This window comes from Homo sapiens, chromosome 5 (genome assembly GCF_000001405.40).
Source record: "Homo sapiens chromosome 5, GRCh38.p14 Primary Assembly".
In the NCBI taxonomy this organism is placed as follows: domain Eukaryota; kingdom Metazoa; phylum Chordata; class Mammalia; order Primates; family Hominidae; genus Homo; species Homo sapiens.
The window spans coordinates 88,699,055-88,724,193 of NC_000005.10; the positions used below are offsets into that span (position 1 = coordinate 88,699,055).

Sequence of the window (25,139 nt, forward strand, 5' to 3'; positions counted from 1 at the left end):
TTTATTCATTAATTCAGCAAACATCCATAGTATGGCACTCTATGGTTGGTGCTGTGCACACAAAAATAATTAACATGATTCTCTCACAAGTTAGAGGTACAGTGACAGTCACCATCCTTTTAGGTAAAACTGCAAGCAGGAAAAATAAACTGCAGTGCATCTAGTCATTTTTCCATTTGCTTTCATTTCCTTCCTTCTTTAGGCACCCTTTGTATCTGGCTCTCCTTGTTTCTTCAATCAACTGTAGAAAAGTATCTGATAAAATTTCATACTAAAGTGTAAGAGATTTATATTGGCTATGTCCTAGAGATATTTACTTTATATCAAATTAGAAAGCAAATGAGAAACTCTCTAATTATGGACTTTCCAAACCAGACAGGAGAAGGTAAAATTATTTTTAAAGCCGCTGTTCCTGAAATCACACCGCCTAGGAAACTGATTAATTTGTTTATTCATTAACTTTGAGAACTTCACATTGAGCAACAAAAGGAGTCTTCTGTAAGATATAATTGGTGAGACTCCATGGACACTTCTAAAACTAAGTAAGTTCCTTCAATGCATTTAACATTTGGAGGGAGGATACTTTTGGTGTGTTCCTTTCTCTTTTTTTTTCCCTTTCCTTCTTTTCTTCCTCCCTTCTTTTTCTTTCCTCCTTCTCCTTTCTCCTCATCCTCTTCCTGATCCTTCTCCCCCTCTTGCTCTTCCTCCTTTTTTTCTTCCTTCTGCTTCATTTTTGCTCTTACTTTCTCTCCTGGAAATCCTGAAGATATGAGGAAATGTTGTAAGAAAAAAAAAAAGAAGAAAGGGATTTTCAGGACTTAGCCAGCATGACCAGGCAGTCAGAGGCAATGAAGAAATTACTTGGAAGGAATAGGTTGGTGTTGGGGTCTATTCAGTTGTTGTCCTCTCCTTTTGGCCTGACTAGGGAAATAGTGATAGAAGTGGGGTATTTCCTAAGCTTAGATGCTTGAATTATTCATTAGTCTAAAGTAAATTAACATTTAGAGGCAGGTGACACACATTTTCTTGAACAATTATTATCACTAATCATCATTTTCCACAGTAATTTGTATGCTCTCATTATTAGCTCTTGATTTCTATGTAAATCCTTTCCATAAAACTGCCACAAGATGGAAGTTTTTTTATTGGCTCTCTTTACCTCTTGATATATTTCTTGGCATTTTGGCATTCCTCATCTGGCACTTGATGGCTGGGTTTTCAGATTAGGCTGACTGTTGACATGCCCATATAAAACATTCTTTCATTGAGCATATTGCATTTATACAGGAGGCCACCTTGTCCCACCTTCTGCCATATTGTGCCCATATTTTTTTATGTCAATTGTCCAAACATTGACTCTCACATTTTCCCCCTTTTGATTTTTCATTGTGCACCACATTTGACACTTTAACTACTTTTACTAGTTGTCCATGCCTTGTCACAAAGACTGAAACTGACACAGGTTTTGCCTAAACAGTTGCCTTGAATAAGTACATTTGTCATATGGATATCCCCTTCAAATCCTTTAGAACACCTTGGATACTTTTCTGCTAATCTTTTCTTACAGTTATTTGGGCTCCAGGACTCAGCTACGTGAAGGGAACTATCATTCTTTGTAACAGTTATTTCATACCAACAGTAAATTTTTAAATAAACCCCAGAAAGTGTTCTTGAGATTAGCTAGTTCATGGCAGCCTGTGGCTTGTGTCCCTGTCTGGCTCCTGAGGGAATGATCCAGTTTGATTGAAGAATTGCTGATAATTCTACTAAATTGAAAGAGTTCCACTTTGATCTAATATAATATCTAAAATTTTTACCTTTAGAATAAACCTCATTATACTGGTGAGGAGAGGGATGGACACCCTAGAAAGAGTCAATGCATTAATTTCCAGCATTTACAGGTTAAGTGACACTTAATAAATCATTGAAGAGTCGCTTAACCTGTGAATGAGACCCGTAAATGAAACCATCTCATTCAAGTCCTGGCTCTCTGATTTACCAATGGGGTGACCCTATGGCAAGTTAATTCATCCTATGCCTCAATTTTTCTCACCCATAAAAAAGCTTTACTGATTGTGCCTATCTCACAATGTTGTTATGAGGATTCAATGAGTTAATGCCTGAAAACCTGAAATTAGTGCCTGGCATCTAGTAAGTACATCTAGTGTCAGCAAAGACTGTGATGATGATGGTGAGGATGGTGGTACATGAATAGTTTTCCTGGAACAAAAAAGGATGAAGCCTTAGCAAAATGGACACAAATATATAATTTTTTTTATCTCCAAAATTGGGTAAGAATGGTCTGAAGAACAGGTGATATTGTTTGGATATTCGTCCCCAGCCAAATTTCATGCTGAAGTGTAATCCCCAAAGCTGGAGGTGGGGCCTGGTAGAAGGTGTTTGGATCATGGGAGTGGATCCCTCATGGCTTGGTGCTGTCTTCATGATAGGGAGTTCTAGCAAGATATGGTCACTTAAAAGTGTGTGACACTCCCACTCCTGCACCAGCCCCACTCTCTCTTGCTTGCTCCTGCTGTTGCCATGTGACTTGACTGCTCCTCCTTTGCCTTTTCCCATGATTGTAAGTTTCCTGAGGCCTTCCTAGAAGCCAAGCAGATGCCAGCACCATGCTTCTTGTACACCCTGCAGAACCTTGAGCCAATTAAACTTCTTTTCTTTATAAATTACCAGTCTCAGGTATTTCTTTATAGCAATGCAAGAACAGCCTAACACAACAGATATTTCCTGTGGAGAGCAGGCCTAGGTAAGTATCTCTAAGAGAAAGTCCTAGGTAGCCCCAACATCCTCACATGGCTGAGGAATGTATTGTGCCTGATCCTTCACAAGTGTTCAGGGCAAACGTTGTGACTAAGCTCCTGCAACAAGCATTCATTGTTAAAGACTCTGAAGAGAAGGTGGTTTAGTGAAGGGGTTGAGTGACTTTTCCCTAAAGAAGCTTTGCAGCCTTAGCAGAGCTATGCTTTTCATGACCCCTTTCTGGAACCAATTTCATGGTTACAAATTATGCACGAACATCTCCAGTTGGTTTCCTACATTAAAAATACTGCCTCAGTTTTAAATTTTACCTGAAGGCTGGTTACACCAAGCTCTTACCTGTCATATTTTTAATGCATTAAGTCTGTATTCTGGCTCATTGTTGAGTCTTGTCATTTTGGCCAGAAAATGTAACTGCAGTGCTACTGACATTGTCCTAATGGTGTCTTTACATAAAATACAATTTTCTTAAACAAGGAAGAAAAGCAGCTTCAAGATCAGTGACACCAACACTGTAAAGTAAGGGTTTTAACTTCAAGACCTATTCAAACAGTTATCTGTGTCAGCATACGTGTGTGTGTACACACACACACAGACTTCAGAGACGCAGGCAGAGAAAAACACAGGATAACATTCCACATCATTGTGAAGCTTCCAGAAGTATGAAGCTCAGGAGTACGTCAACAGAGAGTACTGTTACCATATCCAACCTGCTCCTCCTCCTTTTGACATTTCTAAAGAAGCAAAGGAGCTCCTGCTGTTCAGGCACTGCAGGAGAGGAACGTACACTAGCTGTGCCCAAAGGGGTTTGCATTGTAAGCTGGATGAAAATAACTTCTCTATCTTTTCTTGGAAGATTATTTTTTTGTCCACATAAAATAAACACAACAGAAAAACATGTCATTTCAGGAACATAGTGTTTCACAGACCCCTAAGTCATTGCCATCACAATTTAAAAATCAATTCTGGCGTGCTGAATTGAAAAAACTGGGAAGAACCAGTTAGAAGAGGTATATAAATATAAAATCTAAATGTAAGAAACAACACAGGAGGCTGAGGCAGGAAGATTGCTTGAGTCAGGAGTTTGAGATTACAGTGAGCTATGACTGCACCACTGCACTTCAGCCTGGGTGACAGAGTGACACTCTGTCGCTAAAAAAAAAAAAAAAAAAAAAGGAAAGAAAAGAAACAACAACAACGCAGTCATTAATACACAATAGGTAAGTTTTCCTTGATCCGATGTCTTTGTTTTTAGAAAAATGTTACACATTTAATTGAAGTAAATAAAGAAAATAACCTGTAGTATTTTGCACACTAAAAGCCTTGATTTTTGAGTAACTTTTAAGTATATGTTTTGAGTATATGTTTGAGTAACTTTTAAGTATATGTTTTATTTTAACCTAGAGTTCACTTTGATATTACTTATGACAATCCACATGTTACTGCTATTGCTATCATATAAGCTACTTGGTTCAGTTGGCAGAAGAGGGGAAGTAAATTAGCCAAAGTGTATGGTTGGACTCCTGTCCAGTAAGGACTAGTTGGCTTGGCTCTCTGCCAGAGCAACAGATTATATTTCTAACTCTTCTCAACAACAGAGGCTATTCCTTTTTTTGTTTGTTTGTTTGTTTGAGACGGAGTCTCACTGTCGTCCAGGCTGGACTCCAGTGACGCGATCTCGGCTCACTGCAAGCTCCGCCTCCCGGGTTCAAGCGATTCTCCTGCCTCAGCCTCCTGAATAGCTGGGACTACAGGCGCCTGCCACCATGCCCAGCTAATTTTCGTATTTTTAGGAGAGATGGGGTTTTGCCATGTTGGCCAGGCTTGTCTCTAACTCCTGACCTTAAGTGATCCACCCGCCTAGGCCTCCCAAAGTGCTGGGATTACAGGTGTGAGCCACAGCGCCCAGCCAATAGGGTCTATACTTTAAAAAATTATTTTATTTTCCGAAATACCAAAAATCATGCTGTTCTGCACCTAGGATTTAACAACTATTTGCTTAGGGAAGAAAAAAAGCAAAGAGAACATCACAGTCATCTCTGGGTCATCTCTCGGTCATGTCCTTTGGTTACAAATGGCTGACAAGATCATCTTCTGTTTCTCAGCCATTATCTTCTTTTCATGGTCAAGTCTAACAGAATTTACACACCCAGTTACCTGAGAACTTAGTAAAAGTTACTTCAAACTTTTTTGCTATGTTGTTCCTATTTCTCAGATACATGTATTTTATAATAGAAGAATAAGAAACTCATCAGTCAACTATTTCAAAATCCTTAATATTCAGCATTAAAGGACACTAATCTGTAGGGGAAAATGCAAATGAACACATAAGAACATGTAATTCCTTCTTCCTCCATTCTTATTTAACCTCACATTTATGTGTAGTAATGGTGTACGAAATTACAAGTTATCTAGTTAGTACCTGATTCATTAACTTAAGATAGTTGAAGATTCTAACTTGCTTTAATATTTTTTTTTTAAGCCAACTTAAAGCACTCTGGCTTCTTTCAGCTTATAGAGAGATGTTCTTGCTGGTATAACAAACTTATATATTAAATTAGCTGAAATGCTCTCAAACTAGTCCTCAAAGGGGCTGGGTAAAACAACAGGAAACATACAGGAGACTGGATCTGTAAGTAGAATACAACACCTGATAGCAAATAATTTGGGTATGTGTAAAGTGTAAAGTGAGGAGCAGGTTTCTGCAGAATTACTCACTTACTATGGGTGGAGGGAACCTCTCTTACAAAACTATGTAACCTTTAAGTACGTATGTGTAAGTTTATGTGGAAATACTGCATAGATTATCTAGGAATTGGACATTATTAGCTGCTCATAGAATTGATATGAGAAATAATATTAACCTATCCATATGCTTACAAGACTGCAAATAAAATGATAAAATGCTATTGTATTTCTTCTTTCAAAATTCAACTTTGGATGGAATTGGAGACCACTATTCTAAGTGAAGTAACTCAGGAACAAAAACCAAACATCATGTGTTCTCACTCATAAATGGGAGCTAAGCTATGAGGACACAAAGGCATAAGAATGACACAATGGACTTTGGGGACTCAGGGGAAAGGGTGGGAGAGGGGCAAGGGATAAGACTATGATAAAAAAATTAATTAAAACTGAAAATAAATAAATAAAATTCAGCTTAATTTTATTTTTATGCATATAAAAATAAAAACTATGGGCCGGCATGGTGGCTTACGACTGTAATCCCAGCACTTTGAGAGGTTGAGGTGGAAGGATTGCTTGAGCCCAGGAGTTTGAGACCAGTCTGGGCAACATGAGGAGACCCCAGTCTCTACCAAAAACAAACAACAACAAAAAATTGACCAGGTATGGTGGCACATGTCTGTAGTCCCAGCTACTCGGGGGCTGAAGTGGGAAGATCACCTGAGCCCAGGAGTTCGGAGTTATAGTGAGCTATGATCATGCCACTGCACTCCAGCCTGGACAACAGACTGAGACCCTGTCTCAAAATAAAATATAAAATAAAATAAAATATAAAATGAAATAAAATACAAATTATGATAGAAATTATTGGTTTTGAGAATTAATGAAAATATTATGTTAGTTGCTAATCTTAGATTGAACTTAAGTTCTTATGTTTTCCATAGTAATCAAGGAGTTTATTCAAAACCAGAAAATATTATTGTAGTTTAAAAATTACTTTTTGGCCAGGTGCAGTGGCTCACACCCGTAATCCCAGCACTTTGGGAGGCCGAAGCATGTGGATCGCTTGAGGTCAGGAGTTCAAGACCAGCCTGGGCAACATGGCGAAACCCCGTTTCTGCTAAAACTCAAAAATTAGCCGGGTAAGATGGCATGCGTGCCTATAATCTCAGCTACTGGAGAGGCTGAGGTGGGAGAATCGCTTGAGCCTGGGAGGTGGAAGTTGTAGTGAGTAGAGATTGCACCACTGCACTCTAGTCTGGGTGGTAGAGCGAGACACTATCTCAAAAAAAAAAATTATTTTTGAGTGTAAAATAATTCAAATGTGCAGAAAAATGCTAACAAAATTACAGAATATCAAAAATTTATTAACCACCATTCACATTTGAAAGATCTTAATTTTCATGTAGCCTTTTTAAAGAAAATAAATAAGTAAAAATTATCCCTCCACCTTCTAATCCTGTCTACTCTCCTTTTCTTTCTTTCCACAGGTAGCCACTCTCTAAAAGTTAATATATATTTCTCCTGTGCATTTTGGAAATCTTGTACTACATATTTATGTATCTAGACATTTGCTTTTTCTCCAAAACTTATGTTTTTAAGGTTTTCCCATGTTGATACATGCAAATTAACTGTCCATCAGTAGAGGAAATGAAAAATGATGGTTCATTCTTATATTAAATGGTATTAGGGATTACCATAGATAAAATAGATCTAAATGTATTAACATATTAAGCTATTTTTTAAACCAGTTTAAAGGTCCCAACAGTCATGGAATACTTTATTCATATAATTCATTCACTAATTCATGAAATATTTTTGGAAGTTGCTTCTGTGCCAGGTACCATTCTAGCAGCTTAGGGTGCCACAGTGAACAAAACAGATGAAGCCCCATTTTGGCTAGTTTGCCACCTGGAGCGTGTACCAGTTATGCCAGCCTCTGGTTTGCTGCTAAAGGAAAGAAATAAGTATCATGCCCAGAAATGGTCAGGGTGGGATCCTAAAGTTTCCAAATCGGTATTGATAACCTCCCATCCTTTTCTGATCATTACCCAAGAGTCAGGCAAAGGAGATGAAACGTTTCTGTGGGTGGCTACATTCAAGGACTAGACTGCCTTACTTAGGTGTGTGGCCCAGGAGAATGTGAAGGAGAAGGAGTCAGAAATCCTTTTGTGTTGATTTTGAAAATGCTGTTCCAAGGCTCTACAATATCAAATGCCTGTAAATGGCTAGGTGCATAGAATACCCATCAAATACCTTGACCTTTGGCTCATTATTGGGTGGCCTTTGAGACAGCAGGCATACATTCTGACTATAGATTATCTAGAAAGCTGAAAACATGAAAGAGTTTGATTCAAAGACCATAAAGGTATGACTAAAGTCAGATGATTAGTCTAGAACTGCAACACCATAACCTGAAAAATTGTCAACAGTGGTAAGGCATCAATGGCAGTCCAAGAGTGAATCAAAGGTCCAACATAATAAATTGTTCAGGTAAAGGCAGGGACAATGTCTATTGAAGTATAGTGAGTTCTTCATCGAAAGACCAATTTTTGGCAAAAGTCATAAGTCTGGCATGCAGTGGTGGCATCTGCACCAGAAACATTGTTTTTTAATATGTGCCCATTCCACGATGATGGCTGTGTTGCTATGTGTGATGCTATAATAGATCCAGGTGACAATGGTGGCTGTCTGGAAAGTTCAGGCTTAGCAGCTTCATTCCAGTCATTCTCATTCAAAAATGAATCTTTACAAAGGTATGTACTGAGTGACCCAGATTATTCGATCAGCAACCACAATTTGTTTTTAGTTTGTTGCCCTTAAACAGGGCTGTCTTTATTCTGCCAGACCAGATGTCTAAGCTATTGACTACAGACAAAGAATCAGTAAAAATACAACATGTGTGGCCCTCAGAAGTATTGTGTAAGGCAAGGATAATGGCTTTCAATTCAACTCATTGTGGTGACAGGTCCTTACCACAGTCTTCCAGTCTGCCATTGAAGCTGGATGATTACTGCCTCCTAGTAGATACTATCAGCTTTTAATTTAGTTAAATCATCAGTGAGCTAGGCCGGAATATTTAGGAAAACCTCTGTGAATAGAATTCCATTGAACTATTGGTTTTGCTACACATGGTGGAGTCAGGGATAAGGAAGTCCCCACAGGGGTAGCTGCCACTTTTTCATGTAAAACCAAAATGCTGCCATGGCCAGGCTGCCGGTACTCTTGATATACCATTTCCATTTGACTCATAATGCCTGTTGGGCATTCCTAGCTTGTTAATCATCAAGTTGGAGTTGACCTGAACTAAAATGGGAATGGCAAGGCAGAGATTCACAATGCTTGCACGGCTTTCAACAAGACCTTAGTAGCAGGTTAATAGCTTCCTTTTTCACCTATGTTAGGCAGTGATGGTGTCTTGAGAGGTCCTGAAAATGACCTCTCTGAGAATCTGGCAGCCTTTAAGTCTTTAACTGAAGCTGTGATTTCTTTTCTCCCTCTGGGTTTTTATTGTTCTTGACCACCCTAAAGGGAGGGTGCATGTAGTGATTCCTGTATGGGTCCTGTCTATCACTGATGGAACAGGGAAGTATAGGCACATACCACCTTAATTTCATTACATGTTCAGATGTGGAAGTCACAATAGTACATAGTGGTAGCATAAATGCCCCACCCATAAGGTCACTTTAGTTTATTTGTCTACTGTGAACTTTGCCTAGACTCCATCAGTTGAATTCAGGTGCATTTTTCCCTACAGGGATACAGGTCAGGGAGTCTAACGCATGCTCATCAAGGGGTACAGTAGCAGTACCCAGATCATGCTATTCCCCAGCTGTGAGGTTGGGAGGTGCAGGGTTGCTGGTGAGGCTAGTCCATTGGTGGGAATAGTAGGAAGAAACATAATTTTTAGCCTTTTCATTCCCCTTGACCCTTGACTCTAAGATGGATATCTTAGCCCCAGTGCTGCTTCCTTCTCTGTGCACCTCTGGCATCTGGAGAGTGCTTAGGTCCAGGGGTCCCTCTCTTTTTGTCCTTGTCTATATCACTACATTTTGTCTTGTGAGCTTTCAGCCACCCAACATCCAGTGCCTCTTTCTTCTTGCTAGGCAAGTTTGACTATAGCAGAGACCAGGTAGACAGGCATGGCCAGCCCTGTTCACTTTTGCTTTTGAGAGGCTGCCTGCTCATGGTGCAACCAAACTTCTAATGTTTGCAGTTTACCTAAAGGTCTATATTGATGAGCAAAATCCCTATTTCTGACATCACTTATTTCAGTTTTAGGAACTGTTTGACTCCATAGCCACAGCCACACTATCTTTTAGCTGGAGTTTTCTGTTCCTTTTGTAATGTTAATATCCCTTCCTCTGGCCATTTGTAGGAGAGTGAGCAACAGCTAAGACACCATTTCTGTAGCTTGCTTCAATTTTAGCTCTCATTGTTTATCCTCATTAACAAGTAAAACAGTGGGGAACTCTTACCCACTTCCACCCATACCCCATCTACCACTTCGGCAAGAACATTAGCTACTGGATTCCAGGGGGTCTTTTCATATCTTCGAATGAAAACTGTGGGAGCCTTGTCCTTCCTTTTTAAAAAAGAAACATGTTTCTGCCACCAACCCATCCCCCTGCCAAAAGTTAGAAACTATTGAGTAAGCCTGTTACTGTTTGATAGAGGTTGGCAGAAAACATGAGACTCCTGAGTCAGGCAAAAGTATTTATTTCTCATGGCACAGCAAACAGCATGAGCATCAACATATCTGCATTGATTCTCTTTGTCCACAGTTCTGTGTGATATGGTGGTGTGATATAGCTTGGATGGTTGCTATGTGCACAGTGGGTTTGTATAGCTGAGGAACACTAAGTTTGGGGAATTCACCACTTTTATAACAAGCAGTAAAAAGCCGACTCTTTGTCTCAGAGGAAGATTTTACCTTATCTTTCAGGGCTGCTCACTGCAAATCCAACCTTGAGAAATGACCTGGTTAAAGAGTAGTCTGGTCTTGAGGCTGGGCGCAGTGGCTAACGCCTGTAATCCCAGCACTTTTGGAGGCTAAGGTAGCAGATCACTTAGGGTCAGGAGTTCAAGACCAGCCTGGCCAACACGGTGGAACCCTGTCTCATGCCTGTAGTCCTAGCTACTCAGGAGGCTGATGCAGGATAATTGTTTGAAACCCAAAGGCGGAGGTTGCAGTGAGCCAAGATCGCACCACTGCACTACAGCCTGGGCGACAAAAAGAGAAGACTAGGCTGGTCCTGCATTCGCATTCCTGGCAAACCCAACAAGATGTGTATCAATGGGAGAGACCCATAGAGGACTGTCTCCCAACAATAATACTTCTTCATAATAGTTTCATTTTCTAATCTTTTTGAACATATTTTAAATTATTTTTAAAAATTGCATTTAGAAATTTTTTAATATTTAGTTCATTACTCCTAGTGGTTGGTTCCAGGTAAGGAAAGTAATCATTTACTATCCCCAGTTACTCCCTAGAATGTTTCAGCTCCATTGGAGGTATATTTATTTTTCACTAAGATGCTGTGAATGTGTAGTGCTATATAGTGTGCTAAAATAGGTAAATACTGAGTGATACACACATATGTGTGTGTGTGTATGTATATGTATATGCACATACACATAACTATATAAAAATCTATGTATAATGTGTATAACAGTTATATATATGTGTGTGTATACATAGTTTTAAAAACCTTTATAACATCCCTAAATATAGATATTATTTCCACTTACAGATGAAGAAACTGACCAAGAGTGGTTAAAAATTTTTTTCGTAACTTGTAGCTGGCCAAGGGGGCATTAAACACAGGTGTCAAAGTTTGTAACTTTTGACCATACCATGACACGATAAAGATTAAAATATTTCTTAATATATAATAAGTTATATATTACTAAGGACTTAAGACATTACTTATTACATAATTAAAATAGCACAAGACCACAATTAAAGATTATTTTAATCTATATGATGGTTTATAATAAAACAAATGCTGGTGTTTGGGTATCTCTATAGGACACTTGCTTCCTCACCTTTTCTACACAAGTGCACCTTTACATCTTCCTCTTCAGCATGAAGACATATTGGGAGTAATACAATGGTCACTCTTTGATGTTATCCAGAAGAAACAGAGCAGTCATCCTTATAATGTGACCTTATAAATTTGACCCAAATATCTACTTTCTTATGCGCTTTTCTTATATTCTTTCTGCTTGTCCTCAAACACTGATGTTTGCTTGTGTTGGGTGTGCACAGCCTTGTGGTGGTGACAGACAAAGGACAGCAAAAGCCAACATGGGAAATCTTTTGCTATCATAGAGTTCATTTTCCAAGACAAATATCCACGTAGATAAAATCAAGACTTCTTTTCTACTGTTGATTGTATCAATCTAATTCATGTTCATGAACTATATATATGTTATGTATGTGTGTTATATATGTATTATGCGTGTGTGCATGTAAATGCTGAACGTCAATTAGAATTATATACACATATTTGATCAAATGCATTAACAACAAATAGTTTCTAATGCTTTATGAAAAATGTTTGTTTTAATGTTTGACATCTTTTTTTCTTAATAATTAAGAGAATATTGCAATGTCTACTGTCCTCCTCCCATTTAAGCATTTTTTTCTATTGATCATATGTACTTTTCTCTGAAATTCATACACTCATGAAATTCCACTGCTAGCTTCAGAGGACTTAAGCAGATAGGCCTTGCACTTAATTTCACTAAGTGCACCTCAAAATGTACCCGGGCCTTTTATTTTTATTTGTGTTGTCCTTTATTTAACCCTCAAAGACGAATGGCTGAATGATCAATTTTATAAGAAGGTGCTTTAATATTACCGGTTGCATTGACTGTCACTCTTGGTACTATAAATATTGAAGCTTCAAATAGTTTCCCTGGGGCGAAAATTAATGAAGCCTCATTTTGGACAGTCTAGAGACAAAATATAAGAATTTTAGCTTTCTTATTCTTTTTTATCTTCTGAGGTTTAACATTACATTGAGCAAGAGTAAGAGTATGGTATAAGACCCCAGATAGCAAAATAATCAAGCCATTTAATATTCTGCAATAAATAATATCTTCATCCTTGAAGTAGTCAATTTATGTGATGTGTATTATTACATTACATGATCAGTCTCGATGTAATTATGTTAGATTACTGCTACTACTTTAGCATTTGTGTTAACTTGATCAGGATTGAGCTGGAATTTACTTCCCTTTATCTATGGTAATATAACAGCACAGCAAATGTTATAGTTGAGTATGTTCAAAGTATTTAAGAGAACTAATATTCTTTGAGTAGTTTATCTTGATTTGAATCAGGGCTCAATGGAAGCATAATGATTATCTGTATTGAAGCAGGCCCTCATATACTTCAACAGGAGATACCTTAGAGTAGTAACTCCTACTACTATTTCTTTTTCTTTTTCTTTTCTTTTCTTTTCTTTTTTTTTTTTTTTTTTTTTTTTTTTGAGACAGAGTCTCGCTCTATTGGCAGGCTGGAGTGCAGTGGCTTGATCTTGGCTCACTGCAGCCTCCACCTCCCGGATTCAAGCAATTCTCCTGCCTCAGGCTCCCGAGTAGCTGGGACTACAGGTGCGTGCCACCATGCCCAGCTAATTTTTGTATTTTTAGTAGAGATGGGGTTTCACCATGTTCGCCAGGATGGTCTCGATCTCTTGACCTCGTGATCCGCCCACCTCGACCTCCCAAAGTGCTGGGATTACATGCGTGAGCCACCGTGCTTGGCCTCCCTACTACTATTTCTTACATAATATTCTGAATTTGAGATTTATCTTCATATAAGTATTTTAAAATTCTGGTAAAATTTACACAGAGTGAAATACACAGATCTTAAATGTACACTAGGTCAATTTTAACAAATGATCCCAGTCAAGATATATAACTTTTCTGTCACTGAAGTAAGTCCCTTGGTGCCCCCTTCTAGTCAGTTCCCACCGCCACCAACAGGCAACTACTGTTCTCATTTCTATCAGCATAGATTAGTTTTGTCTGTTCTTGAACTGTATATAAATGCAATTATACAGTTTGTTCTCTTTTGTGCCCAGATTCTTTCATGCAGCATAATCCTCACATAAATTTTAATGAGTGAATTTTAATAATTGTTATCACAATTAGCACTGAAATTAGTTACATTCTGGTTTATCTAATAACTAGTCATACATAATTTTTAAAATACAGAAGTTCAATGTATCATGTCTCCTGTTTCTTGATTTTATATTTCATAGGAACTCTCTCTTCTATTCTCAGAGTCTACAAAATGCATTATTAAAAAGGCAGGAAGAAAACTGGGCTTTATCAAGGTAGGTGAGGAAGGGCTGTTGTGTATGTCTTTGTATTGTCAGTATATTTAAAGTGGACTCTGGAGAGGACACATTGGTTAGAAGACAAAAATCATTTTTCTGAGTTATTTCGTAGTTATTAAACTCAAAGGACAAATATCATTACTGGTTGGGGGATTCAGGAGAGAGATAGAAGAAACTATTATTCTGTCTCTCTCTCTCTTATAGCTACAGGGTCTTGCTGTGTCCCCCAGGCTGGAGTGCAATAGTGCAATCATAGCTCACTATAACCTTTAACTCCTGGGCTCCAGTGACCCTTTTGCCTCAGCCTCCAGAATAGCTATGACTATAGGTGTGCACCACCATGACAGGCTAATTTTTAAATTTTTTTGTAGGACAGGCATCTCACTATGTTGTTCAGGCTGGTCTTAAACTCCTGGGCTCAAGTGATCTGCTCACCTCAGCCTCCCAAACCATTGGGATTACAGGGTGTAAGCTATCACTTCTGGCCAGAAAGTATTATTCTTTATTTTTGAAAAAAAATTATTTCAATTGATAAATAACAATTGTACATGTTCATGAGGGAAAGCATTATTCTTTTATTGCCAGTAGAACTCTAAAGTAAAGAAAATGTTTTTTGATTTGCTCAAATAATCTTTTTCACATGCAAAGCACATAAACCAGGATAGTAAATGGGAAGAATGAAAAGATGGAAAATAGTGAAAAATATTATTTTCAGCCTCCCAAATCTTACTTGGAAATTTAGCTGATGAATTTGAAAGTACCAAAAAGTAACATAGTCTCCATGCAATTTCAGCTGATTGTTATGGACACAGGAGTTGGTAAGAATGACATGCTTTCTGTGTTCTAATACTATAGCTGGGTTGGTCATAGGGGAGCAGGTTACAATGGCAATGAGCAAGGAAGCAACGGAAATTCAGCCAAGATCTCTAGATTTATAGTCTTAATATTAGATGGCTGATAGGATAAACTGATTATTAACTAGGCAGAGTAAATTAAACCTTATAGGATGAATTCTAAATTAATATTTGTGATTTAATTATAGAAAACTGCTTGCTTAAGTAAGGCTCTTTGGCCAGTTAGTGTAGTCAATAGAGAAGCAAACTGCTAACCTTAAGGTTGTGGTCGTGTCATCCAGAACTGACAGCTGAGGCCATCTGTGCCTGGAGAATCCTAGAGGCGAGCCTATCAGTCCTGAGGTTTGCTCTACACACTGGCATTTTCTTTCCAAAGGCTGCTTCATTAGAGGAGAGTTCCCTGTAAATCTATTCAGTGTGTGGCATTTGCTTTTGGGGGGAAGCCTTTTTTTCAAACTAAAATCTTAAAAAAAATAAGTGGCATATCATATAGCTCAAAAATAAAAACAATATTTAAAAATATGTGTTGTTAAATCTTTCCTCTCATTCACCTCTTTCCCCAACCCCTTGCCATGTTAGTAACTACTTTCTTCATTTCTTTTTTTTTTTAAGTTTTTTATTTTTAATTTTTTTTAGATGGAGTCTCGCTCTGTCACCCAGGCTGGAGTGCGGTGGCATAATCTCGGCTCACTGCAACTTCTGCCTCCTGGGTTCAAGCAATTCTCCTGCCTCAGCCTCCCGAGTAGCTCAGATTACAGGCATGCCACCACACCAGCCAATTTTGTTTTTTTTTTATTTTTAGTGGAGACGGGGTTTCCCCATGTTGGCCAGGCTGGTCTCAAACTCCCGAGCTCAGGTGATCCACCTGCCTTGGCCTCCCAAAGTGCTGGGATTACAGGTGTGAGCCACCATGCCCGGCTGTATTTTCATTTCTTTGTGTGTTCTTCTAGGGTTTCTTTATGCAAATTTAAGAAAACTTATTGTTTTGGTCTCCTCCTTTTCTTACCTGAAAGGTAGCTTACTCTATACACTGCTCTGTTATTGCTTTTTACCTAATGATATGTTATGGAGTTTTCTATATCAGTACATAGAGGCTTTAGTTTGTTTTGTGTTTTTCAAAAAATGGTTACATAGGATTCAATTGGGAGGATGTACCACAATTTACTTAAGCACTCCTGCAGGGATAGGGACCTTCCCTAAGACTTTAATCATGAATATTACACATATAAGCTTTTGCATACACATAGGTTTGCATTTCCAAACACGGCTCTCTCATTTGTAAAAATAAACGAGTATATCATATAGAATATTTCTGGAATAAATGTTTGAAGAAAGTAATTGTTTCTGTAACTATCACTTCTAGAAAAGCCTGTGTTTTGATATATTTAGCACTAGTAGTGTGAAGCTTTGGGATGAATACCTGCACAGCTCGGCTTTCTCTGTAAGTGGAGTAGGTGCTTTGAGCATTAGTAAAGTAGGATCCTACCAAATTATCTTTTGGGAACGTGATATTCCTAAAGAAATAAAATAGCATACTGTGGTCATCATAGGAAAAATCAGAACTTTGTTGACTTCTTTTACCATTATTTTACAGAGTAGGCTTGTGTTTACTTTGAGTAACTTGTGGGAGAGTAGGGCTCCCAATCTTTTCAGTGATTAGCACCTATCAAGTTTTAATGGAGCCTCAGCAACCCTCTGAGTTAGTGATAAACTCTGTGACTTGGAGAAAATCAGTGCTTAGAGGGAATAAGTAAGTTGACAAATGTTACTTAGCTTGTAAGGGGCATTGTTGGTTTAATTATTAACCAAGACCTCTCAAAAAAACTGCACCCTTGTCACAGTGTCATCAAGTAGGTTAAATAAGATCATGTAGGTCAAGTCCATTGTAGTGAAGGAACTGTTAGTGTCTTGCCCCCACTCACAGGCCAACTTCAACGTCTGTTTCCTCAGGTTACCCCTACCATTGCAACCTCCCAGGCATTGGCTCTCCCTTGGTGGAGCGTGTCAAGGAAACTACCAAGGCCCGTACATTTCTGGCCCTGGAGTGTTTGAGCAAAGTGCTCTCCTAACTACTTTCTATTCCATGCAGAATTGTCCCACTAGTAATTCATGTTTCCTCCCATTTCAGTCTGGTCCTTGTACTGAGTTGCCAGATTCAAAGGGTGAGCATCCTTTCTAGAAGTTGGCTACTAAACATGGGTATATGAGGGCTGGAAGTTCTTCCTCCAGTCTGAAGCAATCCAGACTGAGTAAGAGATGAAGCTGATGATTTGGCAGCCAAGGTTATTGATAAGATCAGAAACTACTTTAAGGCCAGAAACAATGACCATTTTCCCATGTTTTCCTAATTCTAACTCTTAACAAAAGTTCCCAGGAAGGAGGCCATGCTTAGGACAGGAGAGGTTAAAGAGCAGCCTCATTTCTGGTGATGGAGATATTTGCTTTCAGGCAATTCGGACAGTTGGAATCCAAGGGATATGCACAGTAGGGAAGTGAACTTGGCTTTACTCCTTCATCACTGGATCTTGTTTAGAAGTCAGTCTGCAAGGATAACACATAGGAAAGATGCCATAGAAATATGCAAACAAAATGGAAAAAGGGTTTTCTCAAATCACAAGATGAAAATTCAGATGCTCTGTTCTGAATAGGGTTCCCTTGCCAAATTCAGTATCTCTATTTAATCCAGACTTTCAAACATAATTGAAAGAAAAAAAAAACACCCACACATCCAAATCAGGCCAGCATTAACTGAATCCTGAGTTTAAGTCCTTATTTACAACTTTCTCATATTCTAACTCAACATACTGAAAACTGAAGTGACTACCTTCCTCACAAAGCAGTGACCTCTCAATTTCCAGTTTGGACATTACTAGGATCCTAATCATTTAAGCCTAAAACTGTAAACTTTAACAATTCCTTATCTATCACCACTCCTACCATTAATCTAACCATTTACTGAATTCTGACAATTTTCTCTCTCCTAAATCTTTCAATTACTTGCTTAAACCTAACTCTTTTAAATTTGCGATTATATAATCAGAGGCAAACTAACTCTTCCAGTCTTGTCTCACTGCTCCCCTACACACGGCTACACTTTACGTAAATAGAAAGGCCCACAATTCCTGTAAGTTTGTCTCTTGCTTTCCCATCTCTGTACCTTTGTATCTACTATTTCTTCCCTGTGAAATGCCCACATCCAGGGATGGTGTCATGATTCCAGGGCCCAGTGCAGAATGAAAATGTGGAAGTCCTTGTTGAAAAAGTGAAATAAAAGGTTCTCTCTGTTAAAGGTACTAAAATATAAAACAGTTCACTTTTTCCTGTGTATCTCTTCTGTTCAGGCACATGCTCTATTGTCCTACAGGACTTTGCTTACAACATTCAAACTCAAATATAAAATTATTAAGGATAATTTTATTATCAGGATATTATCAGGATAATGATAGCAGAACACTAAACGAAACACAAGCTAGGGCCATATGTGACTGCAGGGGTCACATGCCCACAAACAGCTTTGAACTCATCCCCTTCTGGGCCTTTCTCAATCCTGCCCACCTTCAAAATCAAGTGAAAGGCTTCTGCTGGGTGGATGAGGAAGTGTCCATGCTCTGAGCCTCTGGTCTGCTCTGCCCCAGGATGGCCAAAGTGGCTCCCTCATAGCACTTTGTAGACTTCCCTGAGAATGCCTTTTATCTCCTATTAGTTTATAAGTTTCCTAAGAGAAAGGGCTACAACTTCATTCATCCTGGAATCACCACATGAGTTACATATAATAATTGCTTAATACATGTTTGCTGAAAATGAATACAAGAGAACAAAGCAGAAAGCACTGCTATTTTGAAGCCACATGCAACATTTCCTCGAACTGCATTCTTTTTGGAGCAGATATCACTACTAATGCAAAAGTCCAAGTTCTCCAGCTGGCTAACTGGTGGTGTCTTGTTTTCCTTTTCAGTTTTTAAATTAATCTTTCTATCAATCTTTTTAAGGACATTCCCCTTTAGAGATTATTATTGAATGTTAATAATGGATATATTTGATAGTCTCTAAAATGTATGAATTCACTAATTTATTCAGATTTATAAGCCTATGTTTTCAACTTTTAGAAATTACTTCGAAGAAGAAAAAAGGAACTCTTTTGGAAACACTTTCTACAGATTTTAGTTAAAAAATAACTTATGGTACTGCTTTTCACAGTGGCTTTTGAAAAATTCTGTACATTTAAACAGGTTATCAAAGATCTTCATGGAACTTCTTTGATAAAGAAGTTGAACCATTCAATAAGAACCTTAGACTTCCACCACTGGCTGAATTCTGTAATACCCTAAGAACCGTCATCCAATTCACACCCCTCCCACACAGACACACATATCCATCTTTTCATATAATATTTTGAGTTGAAAACTGAGAAAGCTCATTTGTGCTTGTGGCATAAGCTGCTTTTTAAAAAACACAATAAAATTGAATAAATTTAAACAGCAAAACATTAATTTAAAAAAATGCACCACGGACACTGCATCACTAAGAAAGCCAGTAACTTTACTGAATTGTCTGCAAAATACAAATTATACCTTATTTCCAGCAGGAGAAACTTTTGAAAATTTCCCACTTTTATTCACTACAGACAGCTGAATTAAGTCCCTTGAGATACACAGATGTGGTTTAACTTAGTTATAACATCTTGTCATCTAGTGGCGACAAAGTCCAGCTTATGCCGCTGTGAGCCTCTATTTGAATATTTGTTGCAAATGCTTGTATGCCCTCATTTACAAGCGATTTTAATTACTCTCATTTAATGGAAACAAGTCCCCAGGAAAAGAAAAAGAAGAAAAATGATACAGCAAACCATCTGAAGCAATCCAAGTCCTATGCCTACAGTGACCCAGGTCTACTTTGCTCGAAGAGAACACTGGTACTGCATTCAAACCACAACAGAATCCGTCACTTAACTGACCTCTCTGAATTAAACTGAGGTATGAATCAATTTGAGGTATGAACAGGGAAGGCAAAATGCAATACCAGATTATGAAAATAACCAAAATGGAAAAATTTGATGTAGAAGATATGTGGCTTGGATTGCTCCACATCTTTGGTTAAAACATATTAAGAAAAGCCTTTAATTACATCTGTAGTCTGAAGCATTCTAACAGACACCAGTATTCCAGCAATCTTCAAAAGATCTGTAGTGGCAGGAAATTAACGCCATAAAAGTGACGACATCACGGCAGATGGCACAAATGAGAACAGATGAAGTATGCCATGCTTAGGCAACAGCCTTTATTGAGGGTTCAAGTGGCTTCTTCTTCTTTAAAAAAAATGTTTTTTAAAGAAAGAACTACAAAGCGTTTACTCTCTGGAGAAACAAACAACAAAATAAAGAGGGCAAAAAATGCTATCTCTAAGTTAAAAGATGGGTATGTAAGAAAAACAAATCCATAAAAGTGTGTGAGGGCAGACATTCTTTTAAAAAGTGTCTTGGAATTTTGTTTTTTCATTCTCACTTTAGTTAACTTTTAAATGATCTGGGGATGACAGGTATTTTTATATTCATCATTACAAAATGCTAAATTCCACCTTTGGGAAAAAATAAGCCATTTTACTAAAAAACACAATTTTTAAAAAGGTTGAAATAAACAGCCTCCACGCAGCAATGCATACAATATACAGGTTGTGCAGCTTGCGTATATTGCATCACTGTTACCAGTATTCAAGCTTCATATTACCAAAAATCTTTTAAAATAGGATTAGATATAACAATACTCGCAGCCGTGTAAAATGCCACTTATGGATCTTTTACTTGCAATGAAGAATGTTGCCTAAAATGTTACTCTAGGACGGGTTATGTAAAATAATACTCCCTCAGGGCTCTGCCCTAAAGTCTGGAATACAAAGGATTTACTGTGATTAAAAACCATACTAGCTTTGCAAATACAATAAATGGTAAATTACAGATAAGGTATAAGGGTAAAGATAGACCAAGATTGTTTACAGAAAGTGACTCATCAAAATCAAAATTGTGCTTCTTCTCATTAAATCATCTTTTAAAAATTCTCAGATTATCCCTTCCCTATCTTGCCACCACTTTATAAGAATTCAGTAGTGGGAACAAGAGATGACTGGCATCCATTTTCAAGTGATTCTGTTCTCTTCATGTTCTTATAAAACTATTGTCAGAACTGCTATAAATAGCCAAGGCTTCTGCTGGTACTTTAGCTTACTTTATCTTCAGCATTAAAAATTCACTTTTTCTTTGTTGCTGAGGCAAATTGCAGGTTAAAAAACTAATATGGCTATTTCTTCATATTTTCATGTAATGACCCTTTCCCACCCACTGGTATCTACTGATATTGATATACTAAAGTATTTTGAAATGACAAAGAACATTTGTGAAATGTTTGCATATTTTATACACATCAAGTTAGAAGGATGGGTTGTAAGGATGGGATCAAGTCTATGGTGAGGAAAATGATTTTCTTATTTTATTCCCCTGTGCGTGTGTGTGTATGAGTGTGTATATTTTCAGGGATGTTTTTGTTTTTCCTCTGCATAAATGTTATTCTTTCATGTTCCATGGATACCTTGAGTAGTGGGATATATATGAAATGGTTGATAGATTTTTTTTTTTTAATATATAAAACATTAGTACAAGGCAGGCTAGCATCCTTTATGGATACAACCAAAGGTGCATTGTGGTCTAATTGTGGATTTCAGATCAAGTTAAGAAAAATATAGCCTAGTTAATAAGGTCTCTTGGCTTCTGCCACCCAGCGGCAGCCTTTTACAATGAGAAACACATAGCAACTATGCAAGTAAAAGAGAAAAAATGGATAAGAAATGTCCTACACATGATATAGCAGTGTTGATATTACTGCCTATATCTTCTTTGCTGTGTATGTCAATGCATATGATTGGAGATGAATCGACAGATCTTCACATTCCAAGAGAAGGAAAATCTTTCCTAGACTGAAATATCTTTTAAACAATATATATTGACTTTCTTATGGCACTCACTTATTAAAGGGTCTGAAAATTAATCCCTTATAGACGAATATTAGACAAGAGTCATTTTTTTTAAATTAAAAAAAGGGACATAGAGAGGTTCTTTATGGGATTTCTTGAAATGGCTATTAAATCTCTTTATTGAAGAAAAAATAGATGACATACATGCTTTATGCAGAAGTGACATTTGGGGGTCCTGACACACCGGGATTGTTCAACAGTCCTATATTGCTGACAAGATTGTCAAGGGTCAGTTAAAATAATTAAAAACGGATGACAAAGCAACTATCCCTTTACCTGCTTCCTTCTTGTCTAGCACCCAGTCTTTCACATTTTTCTTCTGTGGGAATTTATAACTTATTCACCAAGTAAATTCCATATCACTTGTTTCTAGGGCCATATTTGCAGGACATGTGCCCCAACATAGCTTTTCTATTCTGGGCATATTTCTAAAAAGCGTATCAAATTCTAGGCTGAAAACCAACCAGATGATTTAGAATATGGGCAAGTTAGGATATGCACTTACTGAATTCCAAGATGCATGGTGAAATGGTGAGATCAGAAAGGGGCCCTGCATTTGATAAAAATGCAAAAAACAAAATAAAAATAGCATGAAAGAAACTAGTATATACAATGGATGTCAGTTGACCCAATAGATTGCTAATGTATTAAAAACAATTTAGGGTGTTGCAATGTGATATGTTCTAACCCCACAGGTTATCCTTTTGACAGCTGACCTTAAACTTATAAAATGTAAGCAGAGTAAAAGAAAACAGAAAGAAAATAGTTACTCAAATGTGCAACTGCACAAATATACCCCCCTCCCGCTATTAAGATAACAAAACTTCTGCTATTACCATAATATTATATATATTAGAAAGCTATACACAAGCATGTTAATTTCACAGATTTTTTTAAAAGATTCTTAATATTTTATATAATTAGAAATACACATTTCAAAAACAAAACTTCTACAAAGAGAAAACAGTTATCTTGGTTAGCAAAGCATGGAGTTCTTCATGGCTTAGGGTAGTGCTTTCTATACAAAAAGTCCTTTTTGGTTTTTTACAGGACTGTTTAAAATATTAGCGAAGCTATCAAGGGGAAAAAAACACATTTTGGCTTAAGTAAACTACAAAAAGCCACAAATGCTTTGCAAACTCTGTCTTACCTTTTATATGAAAATAAGCAAAATGTAATGTACATATTTTTATATTTTTATTTAATAAGAGATGCAGACCCAGATTTATTTATTTATTTAATTAAATATGTTAGCCCTCCAACTCCACATTTTTTTTTAATAGGTATGGTCCTCTTTTAATGGTCTCTGATCCTTTTTAATGAGTGCCATACGCCAATGATATGCCTGCAGGTTTGTGAGCATTCTTGGGATGTCAGGTGACCTGGTGTGTTCCTAACATTTACCAATGGCCACCCATTACCGGGTCTGTCCAAGCATCTATACATTTTTCTATATGTTGCATAACAGCTGCTCTCTCTTTCAGTAAAGATCTGCCGCTTTTGGCAAATGTTTCCTTTTGTCTATTTACATGTAAATAACGTTGAACCTGCAACATGACACTATCTATTGTAACATACATTTTGCAAAGGAGCACAACAGTGAAAAGAAGTTAGCCTTAAAATCTATTTTGTACAAGTGTTCTGTTGTACAACTCAAGTGCTAAGCTTATCTCAGCATTTCTGTTTATCTTTATACTGTATCACTGAGGCAATTTAAAAGTACTTTTACAAAACAGAGTACCTGACTTTTTTTTTTTCCACACACGGCACATATAATGCATATCGACCCCCCTTCCCCATTAAGGTATAGCACACACACACACTGCAAGAAAAAAAAAAAAACTAGTAAGTAATAATCTGATCATGTTGCCCATCCTTCAGAAAGTCGCATGCGCTTGACTGAGGGACTTTCCCTTTCGTCCGGCGAAGGTCTGGTGAGTCCAATGGGGGAGTGGAATTCGTTCCGGTGATCCTCTCGGTCGCTCCCGTCGTACGAACTGCTACAGCTGCTCAAGCTGTCAACAGGAGATCTCCCCGCCTCGTGGCGCGTGTGTTGTGGGTATCTCGAAGGGGTGGTGGTACGGTCTCTAGGAGGAGAAACAGGTTCTGACTTGATGTTGAGGCTTTGAGTAGAAGGCAGGGAGAGATTTGAACTCTGAGATAAATGAGTGCTAGTGCAAGCTCTGTAGGAGGAAAGGAAACCCAGTTACAGATGAAGGAGGCCTGGAGGCCCCAGGAACTCACAATTAAATCAAACATCAGCTTAAAGACTCGCATAGACACCAGAGCATGCCCAGAGTGAAGAAAACGTGCTTGGAAGCACATAAGGGCATCGCCTTCTCAGGGCGATTTAGGATGCCTTTGTTGATTTGCCCGGTAGTAATTACAGCATTTAACTGGTCCAGGCCTCATGAATTATATCTCTAGTCTCCGAGAGGCTCCCTAAACATATAGGTTACCATTTCAGAAAGGTTTAAGACACAATGGAAAAAGCATTTTCTGTGTTCATGGACTCTATCCCTAGACTAGTTCTAAAAATTAAATTTCTAAGCATTTAGATACAGTGTTTAGCTCTGGAATTAGACTTCCTTGATTTACTAATGCTTGTGTTTGAATATTATTTTTAAAAGCTTATTATCAATATAAATATTTGCCTCCAATTAATAAGCACATACAGATGGAATCACATAGTCTTCAGAGAAAGTGAAGGGAGTTAAATTTTAAATGACTAGAACTCAAATGCTGCACAATAACTGTATCTGGTAAAAAGCTTTGGAGGTGGAAAAAATGGAAAGGGGGAGGGAAATTGAAAATTATCTGCAGAAAGTTTAAACGTTGGTTTTCAAACACTTAAGACTTTCTACTCCATTAAAACTGATAATTTGACTTTCTTCATCCTTTTGCAGTTACATGAGATGAAAATACTTTGTGTTCCACAATGACCTCAATTTTATTAATGTTAGTCACTCCCTGATGCGTGCGGTTCTTAGGCTACCACTCCTCTTATTTATCATTGGCATTAGTTGATGAATCTGGTGTTGCCTAAGGAAAGCTTGTTGCCAAGAAGGATGTAGTGTGATTTTACTGTGTTTATAATCCTTAATCCTCATATATTCCCAGAGAGAATAATTTTTCCTTTTTCCAAAATCTGGGAAAATTTAGAAACTTGGAATTCTAGAGGAAAAAAGTATTAAGCCCTTAAGTGTAGATTAGCAATCACAATGACTTTGATCAGGATAAACCATAGTGGCATTGCTCGCATCAATTTTAAGATGCTTTTACTCTTCTTACACTAATTACACTGACTTCCAGAGCTAGAGTCAGGATTACTTGACTATATTGTCAAAAGAGCATGGTACTCTCTTTTACTGAGGAAGAATCCAAGTGAAGAATTATCCATACAGACACACCCATTTTAAACAAAGGAAAGCAAGCCTACTTACTAATGTAT

General features: G+C 37.7%; 1 protein-coding gene and 1 long non-coding RNA gene across 80 annotated transcripts in view; one reads left to right on the forward strand and one right to left on the reverse strand.

The window, feature by feature from the left end:
• The window catches only part of MEF2C-AS2 (MEF2C antisense RNA 2), a 46,614-nt gene extending 22,837 nt beyond the window's left edge, over positions 1 to 23,777 (forward strand). Inside the window, exons 2-4 of the long non-coding RNA NR_146284.1 lie at positions 6,469 to 6,602; positions 13,737 to 13,811; positions 23,570 to 23,777. This is a non-coding gene — a long non-coding RNA (MEF2C antisense RNA 2). The remainder of the gene's footprint in view (positions 1 to 6,468; positions 6,603 to 13,736; positions 13,812 to 23,569) is intronic.
• The window catches only part of MEF2C (myocyte enhancer factor 2C), a 186,989-nt gene continuing 179,912 nt past the window's right edge, over positions 18,063 to 25,139 (reverse strand). For 40 of the 79 annotated variants that reach the window (XM_011543396.4, XM_017009478.3, XM_047417190.1 and 37 more), the window contains one exon: positions 18,063 to 23,871. In XM_011543396.4, coding sequence (XP_011541698.1) covers positions 23,550 to 23,871 — 322 coding nt within the window. In that variant the 3' untranslated portion in view covers positions 18,063 to 23,549. The remainder of the gene's footprint in view (positions 23,872 to 25,139) is intronic. The other 39 variants (XM_047417208.1, XM_047417213.1, XM_047417206.1 and 36 more) reach the window with 3 other exon arrangements.